This window comes from Homo sapiens, chromosome 6, assembly GCF_000001405.40.
Source record: "Homo sapiens chromosome 6, GRCh38.p14 Primary Assembly".
In the NCBI taxonomy this organism is placed as follows: Eukaryota; Metazoa; Chordata; class Mammalia; order Primates; family Hominidae; genus Homo; species Homo sapiens.
In genome coordinates this window covers 52041680-52058800 of record NC_000006.12, presented here as the reverse complement: position 1 = coordinate 52058800, position 17121 = coordinate 52041680, and the positions used below count along the sequence as shown (strand labels likewise).

The following is a 17121-nucleotide window of genomic DNA, read 5'->3' as shown; positions in this document are numbered from 1 at the left end:
ATAGATAGATAGATAGATAGATAGATAGAGAGCTGGAGAAGCATAAATAACCACAGGGCTGAGGTAACTGGGTTAATATGTTAAAAAGGCAGACCAGTTCAAAACTCTCTTGATAGTAGCAGTTCAGACACTTAGTGTTTGAGAAAGAGATGCCTGGAAGCTGCATAGTATTGATCATGATATGCTTATTTGGGCATAGGTGAAAGTGGCCTCCATCAGCGTCGGCACTGCTGACTGGTTTGACTCCTGGGAGCAGAATAGGGATGAAGGGACCTGGCAGCAGAAGACTCCCAAGTTGGAGCTGTTGGGTGGAGCCATGTACTACCTGGAAGCAGAGCATCATGGGATAGCCCCAAGCAGGGGGATGAGGATTGGTGTCCAGATTCACAACACCTGGCTGAATCCTGATGTGGTCACCACTTACCTACGGGAGAAGCACCAGATCCGAGTCCGAGCCCAGAGGCTTCCAGAAGTACAGGTCTGTGTCTCTTTCCAGTCCCATGGAGCTGAACTCTGGAAGGAATAAAGTCCCATGTAGCAGGAGCACTGACTGGGAGTCTGGCGACCTGAGGGGTCATTATAACCTTGCTGTCAAAGAAATAGGATATCTCTTTAACAGCATTGTGAAGATGTTTACAAAAATGTGATGTCTTATTCCTGAGATTATCTTACTCATTGAGTTAGTTTTAGGAATTTAAGTTCCAAGCAAGTCTTCTTTTAGAAACTTATTTCCCAGAAAAGAGACAAGGTCCTCTAAACACACGCCCGACATGTATGCGTGCATGCATGTGAGCATATACACATTAAATTCCATAATTTTTGACTGATTGAGGTCCTATTTCCCTATAGCCTGTGTTTTCTAAGTCTACTTTGAAAAGGTCATGTCCTTTGGGTCTCTCAGCTGTGCCCCATATTTTCTTTGAAGAGTTTTTATGTGTTATAGTTTTTGTTGTTCACTTTTTGGTGTACAAAGACAAATCAATATGAACTCTGCCCTCTAAAGCTTACAGTCTAAAAGTAAAACATGTGCACAAATAACCATAGAACAAAGTAGAAAGTAACAATTGATTTAAGAGATTAAAAGCTGGCCAGGTGTGGTGGCTCACGCATGTAATCCCAGCACTTTGGGAGGCCAAGGCGGGCTGATCACAAGGTCAAGTGATCGAGACCATCCTGGCCAACATGATGAAACCCCATCTCTACTAAAAATACAAAAATTAGCTGGGCATGGTGGCATGTGCCTGTAATCACAGCTACTTGGGAGGCTGAGGCAGGAGAATTGCTTGAACCAGGGAGTCGGAGGTTGCAGTGAGCCGGCATCACGCCACAGCATTCCAGCCTGGTGACAGAGTGAAACTCCATCTAAAAAAAAAAAAGCTGCATAGAACTTACTCAGTAGCAAAACTATAATGTGCCCTACAGGGAATGTGTTGATGTGTTGGAAGCAAAGCAGAGACTGCATAAGCCTCCAAGAGAGGGTGCATGCCATGGAGCTGCTTCTGCCTGCTGGGCTACCCTTGGGAGAAAGCAATTGGTGAGAGGGGCTGAAAGTGCAGCATTCAATGGCAACTGTTACATCTCATACTCTCAATCAAGGGGCACAGATAAATAGGAAGACTGACATCTCTGTTAGTCCAACAAAAGTTCTCATTAGGCAATGATGCTGTGTTCCTCAGAGATTTCTGAATGTTAAAGCATTGAAAAGTTAAAATTATAATAAAAAGGAAATAGCAAGTTGAGGAGGAATGTCCTGTGTTCTTAGATTGTCTCTCTGGCTTAATTAGCACCATCATTTAGTCTTGTCTGTCTTGACTTTTTTAGGTGCTGAATGTATCAGGCAGAGGAAACTTCTTCCTTACTTGGGACAATGTCTCTAGTCAGCCAATCCCTGCAAATGCCACAGCCCATCTGGTGGGAGACTTCTTCAAAAAATGAGGGAGGGGAGTGGGAGAACTGGGGGTGGTCTTTATGCTCATGATATAAATTCCTGGCATTTTTTTCCTTTGTAATAGATTCAAACAACCATTGAGGAGTTACTTGCAGTAAAATGCAAACTGGAACCCCTTTGGTCTAACATCCTTCTCCGGCTTGGATTTGAACGAGGTGCTGTCCGTGGCTTCATTCTGATTGTCTTTTTCATCATGGTCTTCTTTCTTTCTATAAAATGAGAACAATCCCCATTTCCTCTCCAAGGTGATAACAGAGTAAAAAAAAAATATGAAACCTGGATTTGGACACTGAGTGGCTGAGGGACTGGCACTGCACTGTGCTTGGGAGGTTGATGCTCGGTGGGTGTCAATAGAAAGGAAAGGCATTCCTCCTGGGCTGTTAGGTAGAGTGCAGCACCCTCCTATACTCCCCATGCCACACGGTGGGAAAAGGTCAAAGACATAGGTGAGAAACATGCAAACATAGCCAAAACCATGCTAATCTTCAGATTACATCTAAAGGAATTACTACTTAAGAAAGTAGTCTTAAGAAATTCTTAAAATGTTAGGGTATGTTTTTAAAACTACTACTAAGGCGAACTAAATTCTAGTTATTTTTGAACACCTCTTCCATCTTGATATTCCTTGTCTTTTTGCTTCTCAATAGTTTTCCGTATCCTGCTACACAGAGAAAATGCTAAAGGGTTTTCAAGGCTCCAGGGAACACAGAATGAGTTTCTTATAGCTGGAGCTTTCAAGCCAGGGGTGCTGACCACTCATGCTGTGGCCATTCCTCCCAGGGCTGAGGGGCCCATATCATGGTGAACAGGACAGCCCCTACAACAAAGAATTATCCAGCCCCTAAAATATTAATAGTGCTGAGGTTGAAAACTCCTGCTCTAAAGTCTTCTTGTGCCAACAACTTTGTCCCTGAGTTAGAAACCAAGGATGCTGGGGGAGTTAGAGTTGAGGAACTGAGGCTCAGAGAGGTTGAGTTACTTACTCAAGGTTGCATGGGTAATTGGGTTAGAACGGGGGTTTTCTTAAGTGAGATACTCTAAAATCCTCATGCACACATGTAGGGAAGCTCTGTCTTTTTTAATATCTATGCCTGCCTTTCTATTTTATCTGAACTGCATCCAGGCCCAGAAGTTTCCAACTCTGATGGGGACCTCACCAGTGGGACGGAGCCCTTCTGTGGCAGGTTCAGCCTCCGTCAGCCTCGACACCTTGTCCTTACTCCCCCGGCTGCCCAGAAGGGCTATCGGCTAGATCAGTATACACACGTGAGTAGCAGTCTTTGTGCTTCTGGGTCAGGTGGGTAGGTATTGGTATTGCTCTCTGGATTCAAGACTGAAAACTCAGAAGCACAAAGGAGTGATTGCTGTGATCTGCCCAAGGTGTTTCAGGCTGAGGTTCTAGGTCTCTCGACTGCTGTTTCAGGTATGAATGGACACCACTGGCCCCCACTTGTGTGTTGTTACCTGGAAATGCCTTTGTATTAGCTGTGAGACTTGTGAAAGTTTTTATTTGCTACAATATTTTCTTTGATCTCTAAGAGTACAGACTGTGTCATTGGACTATCTGGTTTTAAATCCTGATTCCACACCCAATGTACCTTCCATGTCTGTCTTAAGTACAGTATGCCTTCATTTACTCATCTGTAAAATGGACAGTAATGTGGTCTATCTCTCAGGACTGTGGTATAGATTAAATGAGATAATCTAGTAAAGTGCCTGCACAGTTAGGACCCAGTGAAGGCTAATTATTATTACTCTAGTTGTTGTCATTATTGATGGATTGAATTGTCTGATGCATTTCGCAAACACTTCTTAAATCCTTTGCTTCGATAGCTCCACCACCCTTGTAAAAGAAGTGCAGCTGATTTGCCCTTTGGGAACCAGAGTGAGTTTTGCTGGAGTGGTGGAGCTCATGGCAGTAGTTTCTAGTCTTTTCCTAGTTGGGCTGCTGTGGGAGTTGGGGCTAAATGTTTCAGGCTTGAGCTCCTCCCTTCTTCAGCCTCATCTCTTCTGCAGGGGCGCCCAGTGGAGGTGATTTTGCCCCCCAGGGAAGAGTTGGCAATGTATGGAGACAGTTTTCGTTGTTGCAACTGGGGAAGTGCTATTGGCATCTGGTGGGTGGAGGCCAGGGAAGCTGTTGAACATCCTATAATGCACAGAACAGCCCCTATGACAAAGAATTATCCAGCCCCTAGAATATTGATAGTGCCGAGGCTGAAAACTCCTGCTCTAAAGTCTTCTTGTGGCAACAGCTTTGCCTTTAACTGAGTTAGAAACCAAGGATGCTGGGGAGTTAGAGTTGAGGAACTGAGGCTCAGAGAGGTTGAGTTACTTGCTCGAGGTTGCACGGGTAATTGGGTTAGAACAGGGGTTTTCTTAAGTGAGATACTCTAAAATCCTCACTGCCAAGCACAGTGCTAAGCATTTAAAAACTCTGTTTGATGACATTTTTTTGGTCTCAGAAAAAGTATTTATTGTATTTTTCCTTAGCTTTATTTAGGTAGGGAAATAACAATTTAAGTTATTTGTCTCTCTGGCTACACTGGTAAGCTCTGGAAGGGCAGGAACTGTGCTGACTCTCTCAGAGCCTATGGCAGGGTTCTAGGGATGTGGACTCCTCACTACGTATTGTTTGAATGACTGCTTCTTGCACTAATAGAACTGAAGGACTTATTTGGTGTCCATAGCTGTGTCTTGCATACAAAGGCCACATGAACAAGATCCTGAAGATGATTGTGTCCTTCACAATCGGCTTTCAAAACATGGTAAAGAATACCACCTGTGACTGGAGTCTCACGAGGACCAGCCCCGAGAGGTAGCTAATCGGTGGGGAGGCGTGGTGGGAATTCAGTCAGCTGGGAGGATTCACTGTTTTGGGGACAGTTACCCACCTCAGGCACTAATGGTCTTATATTTGGGCCTCATACACTAATTTGGGGATTTGAATATATTTTATTTGACAAAAAAGTTTGACTCCAGAGCAGTTAGTTGTTAAGAATATACTACTCCCTAGAGGGAGTCTGACATTTCTCATAGGGATAGAATTGTAGAACAGCGTAGTTGGGGGAAACCTTAGAGAACATTCTTTGACATGACAGAAAGAGGAAATTTGGGGCCCCAAGAATTTGTGATTCATCAAAATTCATTCAGCTAGTGACCCTGGAATAAAATTCAGCTGTCTTGATCCCTTGATTCAGTGCTTTCCACATAATTCTCATGGGTCTTGTAAATGGTCTTAAACCTAAATGAAACTGGTAATGTCCAGAAGTATCAATCTTCTCTGTGGTTACAGCCTCACATTATAATTTGCTTAAGACACACAGTTAAACTGTAATTTGAAAATGCTGCTGACATTGCATGTCATGGATGAATGATTGACTTAAAAGGTGACTACTAGCATTATAACCAAGGCTGAGCTGATCCCATCTTGGGTGGGATGTTTGTAGCCTTGGCACCCAGGACTGCTTGGGTGCAGGGGTTCATGGGGTCTCTCTCCTGGCTGCATAGCTCACAGGCCCCCCAGGTTGGGAACAAGGGCTCTAACCGGAGAGGACTGCAAGTGCTCCCTGAGAGCCCAGTTCTGCTCCATGCTGTTTTTCAGCTGGCAGTTCGATTGCACTGACCTCTGGGAGACTTGTGTGCGTTGCTTCGGGGATCTCCAGCCCCCTCCGGCAAACTCCCCAGTGCTGGTTCATCAGATCAACCTTCTCCCTCTGGCCCAGGAGACGGGCCTGTTCTATGTGGATGAAATTATTATTGCAGACACAAACGTAACAGGTAATCATCAAATTCTCTCTCCTCCACAAGCCGGTCACATGCCTACCTCAAACTTTCCTGCTAGGGGTTACTGTTTTTTTTAATGAGGAGAGAACAGGTGATCCTCCTTTTTGCCTGCCTTGGCTCTAGAAAACAGATGGGGCTGGGATTATGTGTCTTTGGTACTATGTCTCTCTAGTCCCTCTTCTTTCCTATTTTCCCCACGATTTTCTCTTACTTCTGGTGTCTGTATTCTTACTCCAGTTTTCCCACTTTCTTGCTGGGAAGTCTTGGTTTCTTCATCTGTAAAATGGGTATAATAAGGACCCTACTTCATTAGATTACGGTGAAGATTAACTAAAGTTTAATATAAAGTACTCCTTACTGGTCTTGTCCATAGAAGGTGTCTAATAAATATAAGCAATTATTGTTATTATTATTGTTATCATTAGACTAGCAGGATTTCTCCACCTTTCCATGAGTTAATATGTCATACCAGGTGCTGGAAGGAACTCAGCAGTGTCTGTCTCTGTAAATGGGCCAAGAGTCTGATTTACAACCTTCAAGACAGACGCAGTGAGAGTTAGAAGGTAATCATCTTCTTCAGAGAGAAGGCCCTTGTCCTTTCTGTCTCTCCAGACTCTTCCTACTCATTATTTAGAGATCAGGCCCGGCTCTTCCTTCCCGAACTCTCCCTTGACCACTCTTGGGCACAGTGGTCTCACCTGGCTCTTGCCCGCTAGTCTTAGGGACAAAGTCCTCCTCCTGGGCCCTGCTGAGGTGTCTGTGTGTGATGTGCGCCCACAGCCAAGGCAGAATGGTGCAGTTTGCCCTCAGTGTCTTCAGGCTTCCAACTTTTGCTCATGTTTCCTTCTCTGTCAAATCCCTTGTGGCTTTGGGGCTCAGCTAGCCTACTTTTTATAGTTTATTTCCCTCTCCAAGAAGAAAAAGATGATACCTTAATTTACATTTTGATTTAGAAAATGTACAACTTTTCAGTCTTTTGCCTAAACATTGCAGTACTGAAGGCAGGGGAACTTGGGGATGGGTGGCAAGAGGACTCTTTATCAGCCTTGAAATTACATCATCTTTGATTCTCATCAAAATCCCATCTCTCCTCTGTTTCCATAGTTTAAGTGTTTTGGGGACATCTGGGTCATTGCTTATTGTTCCAAACCTGTTTGTGCTCTGGCACACTTAGAAAATGACACTACTCAAGTGACGTGCTGGGTGACTGCCTGAATTTTTTGGTGCCCAAGACAACTGGCTGGGGGTCTTTGGTGACCCCAAGTGCTGCCTCAATTTCCAGAAGGCTGAGGGAATCAATATTTCATACACTGGAGTCCACTAGTTGGAAAACTCAGGACTGGATAATAGGTGCTGTTCAGTTTTCTTTTCTCTCCCTTTAATGCCATTCTGCCTCGCCAAACACTTGAAGCCAAGGATTCAGAACTTTTTCTTACTGCCCTCACCTCTTTGCCACCAAATTCTCTGTGTATCTGGAATCATCCAGGGGTGAGGTGAGGTGGGAGCAGGAAGGGAGAGGGCGGAGACAAGAGGGAAGATGGGGGTAGCATACATGAAACGGTCTGCCTCCCACTTTATCACATTAACCCTGCTGGCAATGGCTTTGTTTTCAGAATTATTTAATGGCAACATAAACTACACAATTGGGCTCAATATTCATAGTTAATTGTATATCATTTATCTGATCTCAATTTTATACTTGATGATATTCCCCTGACTAATGTCCTCTATGAAACTTCTTTGTATCTCCCACTACCACTGGATAGTGGTAGCTTCCATTTATTTCTCGTTTAGTTCTCAGAAGCCCATGAGTTGGTCCTGTTATCCCCACCTATGGGTGGGGAAACCAAGGCTAAAAGGAGTGGAGTATTTTGCCCCAATTCACACAGCGGAGCTGTGGAGGAGATCGGAATCTAATGATCACTGACCCTCGAACTGATCTACCCAGCTGAGCAAGTAATCATTTATTGACCACCTAGTCTATGCCTAGCATGTGCTAAGCATCAAGCATGAGAAGACGAATTAGACAAAGGTGTTGCCCTTAAACTCTTTAAAGTCTCCATTGTAACCAATCTTGGGGAAGAAGCTAAAAGGATGTTGATATTGTGCTGATCATTTTAAATCTTAAATCTCACTAAGCTCTCCTTGTCAGATTGATTGCTATCAATCATGCATGTCATAATCCCCGCTTTACACATAAGAAAACTGAGTCTTATGGAGTGTGTGTGGATTAGCTGAGTGGGAATCCAATAGAAGTGAAAAAATCAGGATTTGACCAGTGGTCTCTCTTAAAGCTTGCACCCTTTCTGCACACATGCTGGCTCCACACTGTGGATAAACACCCAAGTGCCCCTGTGTATGCCTCTGAGTTCAGTGCTCCTAAGAGGATCAGCTAAACATCCCTAGAGTTGCCAGGGGCTGTGGGAAGGAAAGGAGGAAAGGGTGGCAGGCTATACTGCAATAGATTAACTGTGTAGGAGTGCCTCCAAGAGCATAGGGAGTGACATTTTACTAGCTGTGGGGTTATTGAACTTTTCTATGGAATCAATCTTCATCTCCTTAAATCAGGACCTTGCACTTTCCTTTTTGTACTAAACTGAATGGCTTATCCTCCTGCGTCCTCTCCATGTGTTCTTTATGGCAGCAGATAAGTAGGAATCTATGCTTTAGGTGTGTACTGAGATCTGAGTAACTCACATTTCCAACTGGGATTTTCCACACAGCAAGTCTACCATCTTAAGTCACTTGATAGTAATTGGATCACTGGTCTCTAGTTTCTCAAGCTGATTCTGGAACGGCTCGCCCAGGGGGCAATCTGGTGGAATCAGTCTCTGTGGTGGGATCCCCTCCGGTCTACAGTGTCACCTCCTGGCTGGCGGGGTGTGGCACGGAGCTCCCGCTCATCACTGCACGGTAAGGAGTGGCTTTTTTACACCTGTCCCTTCTCCTAAGAATGCTTGTTGGCCTTGAGGGACACAGGTGTGACTTTTTTCAGGAAAAGCTACCTGTCTTGTTGCTTAAAGCAATGTTCTCAATCTTGAGAATGCAGCACCAGATTCACCTGGAAGTATTGTTAAAATTACTGGGCCTACTGTCAGAGTTTCTAAGGCAGTAGGTTTGGGGAAAAACCTGACAATTTGCATTTTTAATAAGTTCCTTGGTGATGCTGATTCTGCTGGTCTGGGGACTACGCTTTGAGAACTAATTCCGAGTCAGTTAGTTTAAAAATAGTGGCATTTTGTGCTGTTCAGAGGTTCACATCACCACTGTTTTGTTTTGTTGTTGTTCTTTTCATTGCATTCCTCATGTGTTAATCTTGTTGAAATCCTTTGAAATGAAATGTCTAGAGAAGAAAAATAGCTATTTCTAAGAACTCACCACCAGATGGCACTAAAGCCCCATAAGCATTGCTTCATAATAACCATTTCTAGCCACAGTTTACAAAGCAGTAACTAAGGATCAGGCTTCTTCTAAGCTTCTGGAACACATGTATACTCTAATTTGTTCTTTTAATTTTTCACCTAAACCCCAGTAGAATGGGAAGAATTGAGTGCTCTGCCTTTGATGTATGTATATGTATATGTGGGTGTAGGGATATATATATTCACAGTGTATATATGTGTATACACATATATGTCTAAATATACAGTCATGCACCACATAACAATGTATCTGTCGGTGATGGACCAAATATATGATGGTGGTCCTATAAGATTATACTACCATATTTTTACTGTAGCTTTTGTATGTTTAGATATGTTTGGATACACAAATATGTAGCATTGTGTTACAATTGCCTACAGTATTCAGTACAGCAGCAGGCTTGTAGCCTAGGAGCAACAGGCTATACCATATAGCCTAGGTGTGTGGTAGGCTGTACCATCTAGGTTTGTGTAAGTAAACTGCATGATGGTTGCACAATGATGAGACTGTCTAAGGATGCATTTCTTAAAATGTATCCTCACTGTTAAGTGATGCATAACTGTATAGGTTTCTTTCTCTCATCTTTTTCTCATATGTTCCAAAATGAGTTCTCGTACCTACAGCATGCTGCAATGGCATATTAAAGGCAGGTGCAGAAAGTTTGAACCCGTGCTTTACTTTCCTTGACTAAATGTTTGTTCCATGGTCCTCTGGGCAGGAAAAGCAATAAAACCATCCATTGAAAATGAAGAGGTGAGACATCTTCAGTGGCAGAGAGGAAGCCCACCATATCGGTAGGCTCTAAATGCCAACGTTTTTAGCTCTGAAATGATAGACACGAATTAAGTTACTCTGAAATGATTCTCACATCGAGTGGTCCTGAAAACTCCCTTACTGAGTTTCCTCAGGTCCCTTAGCTCTTTCTGGAAGGCTGCAGCCTAAGCAAGACAGGACATCCTTCAGACAAGGTCCTCCTAGGTGCACACCCCAACCCAGACGTTAATACTTTGTTTCTGACGTGCCACAGCTCTGTGCCCACTGAAGGAACAGAAGAGGGATCTGGACTGGTCCTGGTGACGACACAGAGACGACAGCGGACAAGTCCACCTCTAGGAGGACACTTTCGCATCCAGCTTCCTAATACAGTGATTTCTGGTAAAGGGGTGATTGGGGTTGCAACAATTCTCACTCACATATTCTCACTCACATTCCCAAGGGAACAACATCCTGGGAGGTTGTCAGACAGGTGATAATATTAAAGCTATTTTATTTATTTTCCAGTGTCTGAAAGTGACATTCTTAAAGTGAAAGATTTGGAAAGGGACTTATTGTTAATGCTACCCCAACCTTTACATTTTGTAGATGCGGAAGATGTATAGTTGTGGAAACTGAGTGGATCAGCTTCCTGGGACTGTTGTAAGGAGTTAACCACAAACTTGGTGGCTTCAAACAGCAAAAAATGATTCTCCCCCAGTTCTGGGGCCAGAAGTCCAAAATCAAGTTGTCGGCAGGGCCACACTCCTGTGAAGTATTTGCTCCTGCCTCTTCTGGCTTCTGGTGGTGGCTAGCATGTCTTGGCTGTGGCCATATCACTCCAACCACCGCCTCTGTGGTCACGTTGCTTCTTCCTCTTCTATCTCAAAATTTTCTCTGCCTCTCTCTTATAAGGGTACCTATTATATAATTGTATTTAGGGTCCACCTGGGATAATCTAGGACAGATTTTTCCTCTCAAGACCCTTAGCCACATCTTTTGCCATATGCAGTTTATTATTTTGCTTTATAAGTTAACATTCATATTTTCTGGGGATTAGGCCATTAGGCCATCTTTTAGGGGGTTCACCGTTCAGCCAACTACACTGAAGCTTGCCAAAAGGTCATACAAATAGCTGATGACAGGGTCCAGTTGTGAACCCAGGTATTTGATTCCTGGGTCAGTCCTCTTCTTTCTAGAGTTTTATAGACCAAGATACATGGTAGCCATGGTCCGTCAGAGTTAGACTTAATGGTGACACCATGTACTATGGAGGATTTCAGTGGTCCCAACAAATGTAGAAAGAACTTTCAGATGCAATTAGAGTAGTGTTTGTAAATCTTCAAGAATACATACAATGCACAAAGAACAAAGATTAGAAGTGATAATGATACGTTACTTATTTGGTAGAAACATGGGGAATCAGAAGCAAGGCTCAGTAGAACTTGAGAGGGGCTGTATAAAAGTTGGAACATGGTCCAAAAGTCTTTTGCCCTCCCAAGCAGAAAGTCCCTAGGCCTGCACAGGACCTTCTTGGGTGAGAGGAACAGAGTGGTATTTTTATTATAATAGGGTGACTCAGGAGAAGTCGAAGATCCCTAGGTGTTGATTCTGGTAAATGGGGGAAAAAACATCAATCGTGCCCTGCCTCTATGAGGCTCATTACTGTGCTATTTATATTTGATTTTACTTCTCATGGAAGACAGCTCATCCGTAGAGACTTCCTGCTACTGATTTCTATCACTGATGATCCTCAGATCACCGCCTGCAAAACAACTGGGAAAGTCAGCCTTGGCCTGGCCTTTTGAATGATGATGGATCTGAAACTCTGTATAAATGTAGAAACATGATTTGTAAAAGGATAACAATTTCGTTTGCAATTTAGAAACGCAGTGATATTTTATTAGCCCTTCAGGGCAGCGTGGAATTCAAGAGAAATGCTCTTGAGTAGGTAGAAGGCAACCTGTGTTTTCATGTAAACCTGTCTTTCTGCATTGGCAAGCTTCTGCATATGGTTGGGTTTCATTTTCTTCATCCCTAAAGTAGACATTAGGATACCCAATGACCCACCTCACAGGGCTGCTGGGAGCAGCTAATGAAATGGGAACTTCTGGTAGAGCACAAAGCAGGGTTCAAATACAGAGAGCTGTTATTCTTCTGTGGGGACATGGAATGGGGAAGCAGGTGGTTGGGCTTAAAGAAAATTCTAATAGAGAAACTGAAGTTAAATGCCAACATTCCTCAGCTGGGCTGGCCAAGTTTTTATGGGTGTCAGCTGCTGTACGCCTCCCTCACTCCCTGTGAAAAGTGGCCAATTTTTCTCTGTTCACAGGGCCAGCTAAATTTTTCCAGGGAAGATCTAATATTTAATTATGCTTTCAGGCATTACAAGGGTGTGTGGAGTTTACATTTTGAGTTGACAGTTGAGATGGTTTTATCTGACATGGCTGTGCTCTCTGATTGCTGTGTGATATGGTATGAGTGAAAGATAGTGTAATATAAAAAGTGGGCATCTACTTGTCTTTACCTTAGGAAAAAATGGTTTAATTATGGCTGGGGATTCTACTGAAGTTCTACTTTGACAGAAGGGTCTCCTGAAAATTTGATAGGCATCCTAGTATGTATCGTGTTATCCTTGAGGATGAAACTCTGTAAGGTGGATTAATTAGTGTCTGTGTTTTCTGTATCAAAACCTTCTCTCACAGATGTCCCTGTACAAATTTCTGCTCATCACCTTCACCAGCTCTTACAGAATAATGCCGATGACTTCACATCCAGGTACCTCAATGCCAGTGACTTCACTGTGAAGGAGGATCTATACACTTGCTACGAACACGTGTGGACCTTGTCCTGGTCCACTCAGATTGGGGATTTGCCCAATTTTATCAGGGTATGTATAGTATCCCTTCTAGTGGCATGGATTTGCTGCCCTGGAGAAATTCTGCAAAAAAAAAAATCAGAATTATACAAATGGAAACTGTCATGAATTATTAATTTTGTTGGAATATTTGAGTAAAGGGATTCTATGAACTTTCTTTCTGGAAGTTTTCAACACATATTTTGTATATCATATCCCTGAAAAAGCAATTTAAACCCAACATCTCCCTTCCTAACTCAGTGTAGGTAGTGAAGTTATTGGTCAGTGTCCACCATGCAATAATTCTACATCTGTTATTGGATAATTTAAGCAGATGTGATTGACTTAGATGATTGTGGAAGCAGATGGCATAGCAGAAGGAATTTTAGAAAAGAATTTGCTGTCTTTGGGTAATGACAAAACCAGATGCTCTTGCATATTTAGGGTCTTAAAAAATAATCTAATGATCAACTAGCATTTGGTTATTATAAAATGAAGCCCAAGATGAAAATTTTTCCTAGTTGTATGGTGTTGTGGGTTATCTGGTTTTCAATCGAAATTCTAGAAAGGAGATGGAGGAAGAATGGGAGACCTTGCTCTTATCTCATGGCACTGTTTCTTTCCACTTTATTTTAATATTTTGGATTGCAAACATATAAAATGGAAAAGCATGGAGAAGCAAAGTGTCTCAAGACTTAGAGAGAAGATTGATTTATTGTACCTCTTTTGGCAATCCACTTGCAAATGAATATTTCTCTAATCTACTGGGACTTTCCTCAGCCATTATTTACTGTTACGTTTCTATATTTCAATTCTCTGTTACTCTGCTTTCACTTTCTAGCTGTCTGATTATCTGAAACACAATGTGAAAAAACTCTTTATTATTTGATTAGACGAGATTAGATTTCGGTTCCATGACAGAATTTACCAGAAATGTAACCATCTCAGGTCTCTGATGAAAACCTTACTGGAGTGAATCCTGCTGCAGCCACGCGTGTGGTATATGATGGTGGAGTTTTTCTTGGACCCATATTTGGAGACATGTTGGCTACTGCCAACCAGCATACTCAGGTGAGAGTGAATGGGCCACCCTAAGTGCAAGCTCCAGTTTCAAGTCTAACTCACTCCTCACTGATTTGTAACATGGACTCATTGATTTAGCTCTTAAGGGTCATTTTGCCAATGTGTAAAACAGGGGTACTTATGGCTGTCCTTTTTCTACCTCCACAGGGTATGTACAGTTCCCTGAAAATATAAATGCCTTGTAACCACAATATTCTATTATAATTATTGATACTGTTGTTATGGTACAAAAAATTGATAATTTCTATAGCTAAATATGATTTATGCTTCTACCTGGTGGTATCAAAAAGTAAATGAGCTAAGTCATTCTTTTTGTCTTTAAAAAGTCCTTTTATTTTTTTCCTATCTTTCCATATTTCTGTTATAGGTCATCTACTTTCAATTTGATAAAGTTTTAAAATACAAAAACAATAAAGAATAATATTATCAACACCTGGGGACCCAAACTGAAAATTGACATTGTCAACATTCTGATATATTTATATTTTTTGTCTTTATGGAAAAAATGAAACAGTACAGATAAAATTGAAGTGTTCTTTATTGTCCATGCCATTGCAATACCTCTTCCTTTAATAAGGAAACACTGTCATGAATATAATCTGTATGCTATTAATGCATTTTTTATACATAGAGAATCAGTGGGGTCACATCTTTTTTACCTTTCTCATTTCCAAGTAGTTTTTGAGTTCTATTAGATTAACATTAGTTCCAGTGAAAGGGAAAGATATATAGTCTCTCTTTAGGAATCTACCATTCTGTGACAAAAGAGACCCCAAGTAAAGTGTCCAAATACACTCTAGTCTTTAGTTATATATTCACAGAGTGGTGGAAGGAATGCACCAAATTTGTTGGTCTTTACTAGCAAATAAAGAGCTTGTCACATAAAGTAGGTACCTGGTTGGAAATACAGAGTGATAAGAAGTCCTTATGCAGTTTAAGTTTATGAAGTTTACTTCTATATGACAGAGATAAATTTACTCAATATTTATCACATTTAATTACAGAAATGGGGTTCAGCATGTCCACCATCATTTTAAGAAAGCTTCATGTGTTTTGAGCCATTCATTGCAATTTAAGATTAATTACTGGAAAAATAGAAAAAAGGAATAAGAATTAGCGAATCATGAACACGTGTCAGCTTGGGAGCACTTCACATATACTTTATGAATACCCTGGTAGATATGAAATGCATAAAATGGAAAAGAAATTTTGCCTCATTTCAGGTGGTTGTGCGAGTGAATGATGTACCAGCTCATTGCCCAGGTTCCTGCTCTTTCCAGTACCTCCAAGGGTCAACTCCCTGTGTCCATTCTGTGTGGTACTCCATTGGTATGATTTGTCACTTGGCTCTGAGATGGGCTTAAGCCGGAGACTTGCAGTGATTTTGTTAGAGGCCATGTAGCTGGTGATGGGTGGGTAGAAGATAAATTAGTTCATTAGGCAGAGGTTGAGTGACGTAGCAGAAAGTGTATTTTTTGGTCCATCTAAGGGATATGGTCATGATTTGAAATGGGGAGAGATGGACTTTTGATGACTAAAAATGTTTTATTGTCTTTGTCCTTTATTTTGAAATATTATGTTCTTTTAAAAAATTGAGCAGTGATCACTTCTCACTAGTTAGAGAAAATTTAAGATCGGGGCTGTGTACTACAATAACAAATACAGATGGCCAATATTTAATTCAGCATTCAGCTCCTTGAATTTTGGGAGGGGATGGGGGCAGAGAAGGAACATTTGATGATAGTGAGAGGTCTCTCAAATGAAGTAATATCACTGAGAGATTATTTTATTTGTTTTTTAATTTCTTTTCTCCTTTAAGATGGTGACATCAACCTAATGATTTACATTACCGGAACTGGTTTCTCTGGTGACTCCCAGTTCTTGCAGGTTACAGTGAACAAAACGAGTTGCAAAGTTATTTTCTCAAACCAGACCAATGTAGTCTGTCAGACAGATTTGCTACCTGTTGGAATGCATCGGATCTTGATGTTGGTGAGACCCTCTGGTCTTGCCATCAGTGCCACTGGAGAAGACCTCTTCCTAAATGTGAAACCTAGACTGGATATGGTGGAGCCTTCCAGAGCTGCGGATATTGGTAATCTGGGGAGGGTCTCACAGTATGTCTGACCCTCTGAAGCTAGTGTTCTTGCTGATAGGAATCTAGTCCTTCTGTGTAATGAATTCCATATTCACTGTGACTCACTGTCTTTTGTTTACTGACATAAGTATTTAAATGAGCAACAAACATTTGAGCCCTTAAATGAACTCACTTGCCACATAAAGGATTATAGTTTGGCTGGTGGTGTCAGGCATAATTGGGTCCTACATAACTTTCATACATGTTTGATATTTCATAAGTTTGTGAACTGATGCACACTGGGATACTTGGCTAGCATGGAAAACTGATTGCCATTTGAGTAGTGGGCAATACAGAGGGTGGTGGGTCTTGTCAACATAGCCTTATGAATTGGGTTAGTTCTATGGAAAATCAAATATTTCTCCATGACTTTCTGCTTTCTGAGGGACACAGCCAGTTAAAAACAACCCAGCCAGATTGCAAGAATCTCAGGAATACTGATGCTTATGTTTGTTAACGAATAAACATTAGAGCATAAAGCCCTTTTCCTTAATGCTTTGGATTTTTGTCATGGTTTATTCTGGAGTCCAGAGGACTGCAGCTTAGAACATATTTAAAAGCAGTGTGGTTTGGCCACAAACTCATTGTTCAAAAGAACAGATTTTTTTCTGACCCTATTTTGCCTAGAAGAGTGAATTATGAGGCCCACCCCACCTTGTTTCTGCACATAAAACAAAGCAAGCATAACTTGCACTTATTTCTCCATGATTTAAGGAAGGTCAGATGATATATGGAGCTCAGAGTGAAAGATCATATTCTGTATTAACCCAGTAATTATTGGTTTGAGTGTAGGGCATAGTGTAGTTTTCTCTATAGAGTTATAAGGGGCTTTGATCTTCTTTCAAAGTTACCTTTGCTGTTCAGGCCACACATACCTTCTTCAGCTCCCTCCACCTTAAGGCAAACAGGTGACTCAGTCATTTTTGTTTCCCCTAGACAAAGTGCTTTGCACAGGTAGGTTGGCCAACTTTCCCAGTTTGCTTGGGACTGAGGGGGTTCCCAGGACACAAGACTCAGTTTTAAAACTGGAATGCAGAACTCTTAGTGCTAAAACTTGGTCCTAGGAAAATTGGAGTGAGTTGGTTACCCTATCAGAACATGCTGTTCAGTGAAGGGATTTCTAGGAGGATTGTACAT

At 41.8% G+C, this 17121-nt stretch overlaps 1 protein-coding gene across 21 annotated transcripts in view; it reads left to right on the top strand.

Moving 5' to 3' along the window:
* Positions 1 to 17121, top strand: part of PKHD1 (PKHD1 ciliary IPT domain containing fibrocystin/polyductin) — a 472317-nt gene that overhangs the window by 28815 nt on the left and 426381 nt on the right. For 20 of the 21 annotated variants that reach the window (XR_001743469.2, XM_017010944.3, XM_017010945.3 and 17 more), the window contains 12 exons: positions 200 to 478; positions 1822 to 1911; positions 2013 to 2103; positions 3072 to 3214; positions 4636 to 4763; positions 5550 to 5725; positions 8506 to 8644; positions 10182 to 10309; positions 12613 to 12797; positions 13713 to 13835; positions 15071 to 15176; positions 15667 to 15942. Coding sequence is in view for 20 of the 21 variants with exons in the window: in XM_017010944.3 (XP_016866433.1) it covers positions 200 to 478; positions 1822 to 1911; positions 2013 to 2103; positions 3072 to 3214; positions 4636 to 4763; positions 5550 to 5725; positions 8506 to 8644; positions 10182 to 10309; positions 12613 to 12797; positions 13713 to 13835; positions 15071 to 15176; positions 15667 to 15942 (1864 nt within the window). In the remaining variant the exon portion in view is untranslated. Of the gene's footprint in view, positions 1 to 199; positions 479 to 1821; positions 1912 to 2012; positions 2104 to 2167; positions 3215 to 4607; positions 4764 to 5549; positions 5726 to 8505; positions 8645 to 10181; positions 10310 to 12612; positions 12798 to 13712; positions 13836 to 15070; positions 15177 to 15666; positions 15943 to 17121 lie in introns of those variants that run through there. The other variant, XM_017010949.3, reaches the window with a different exon arrangement.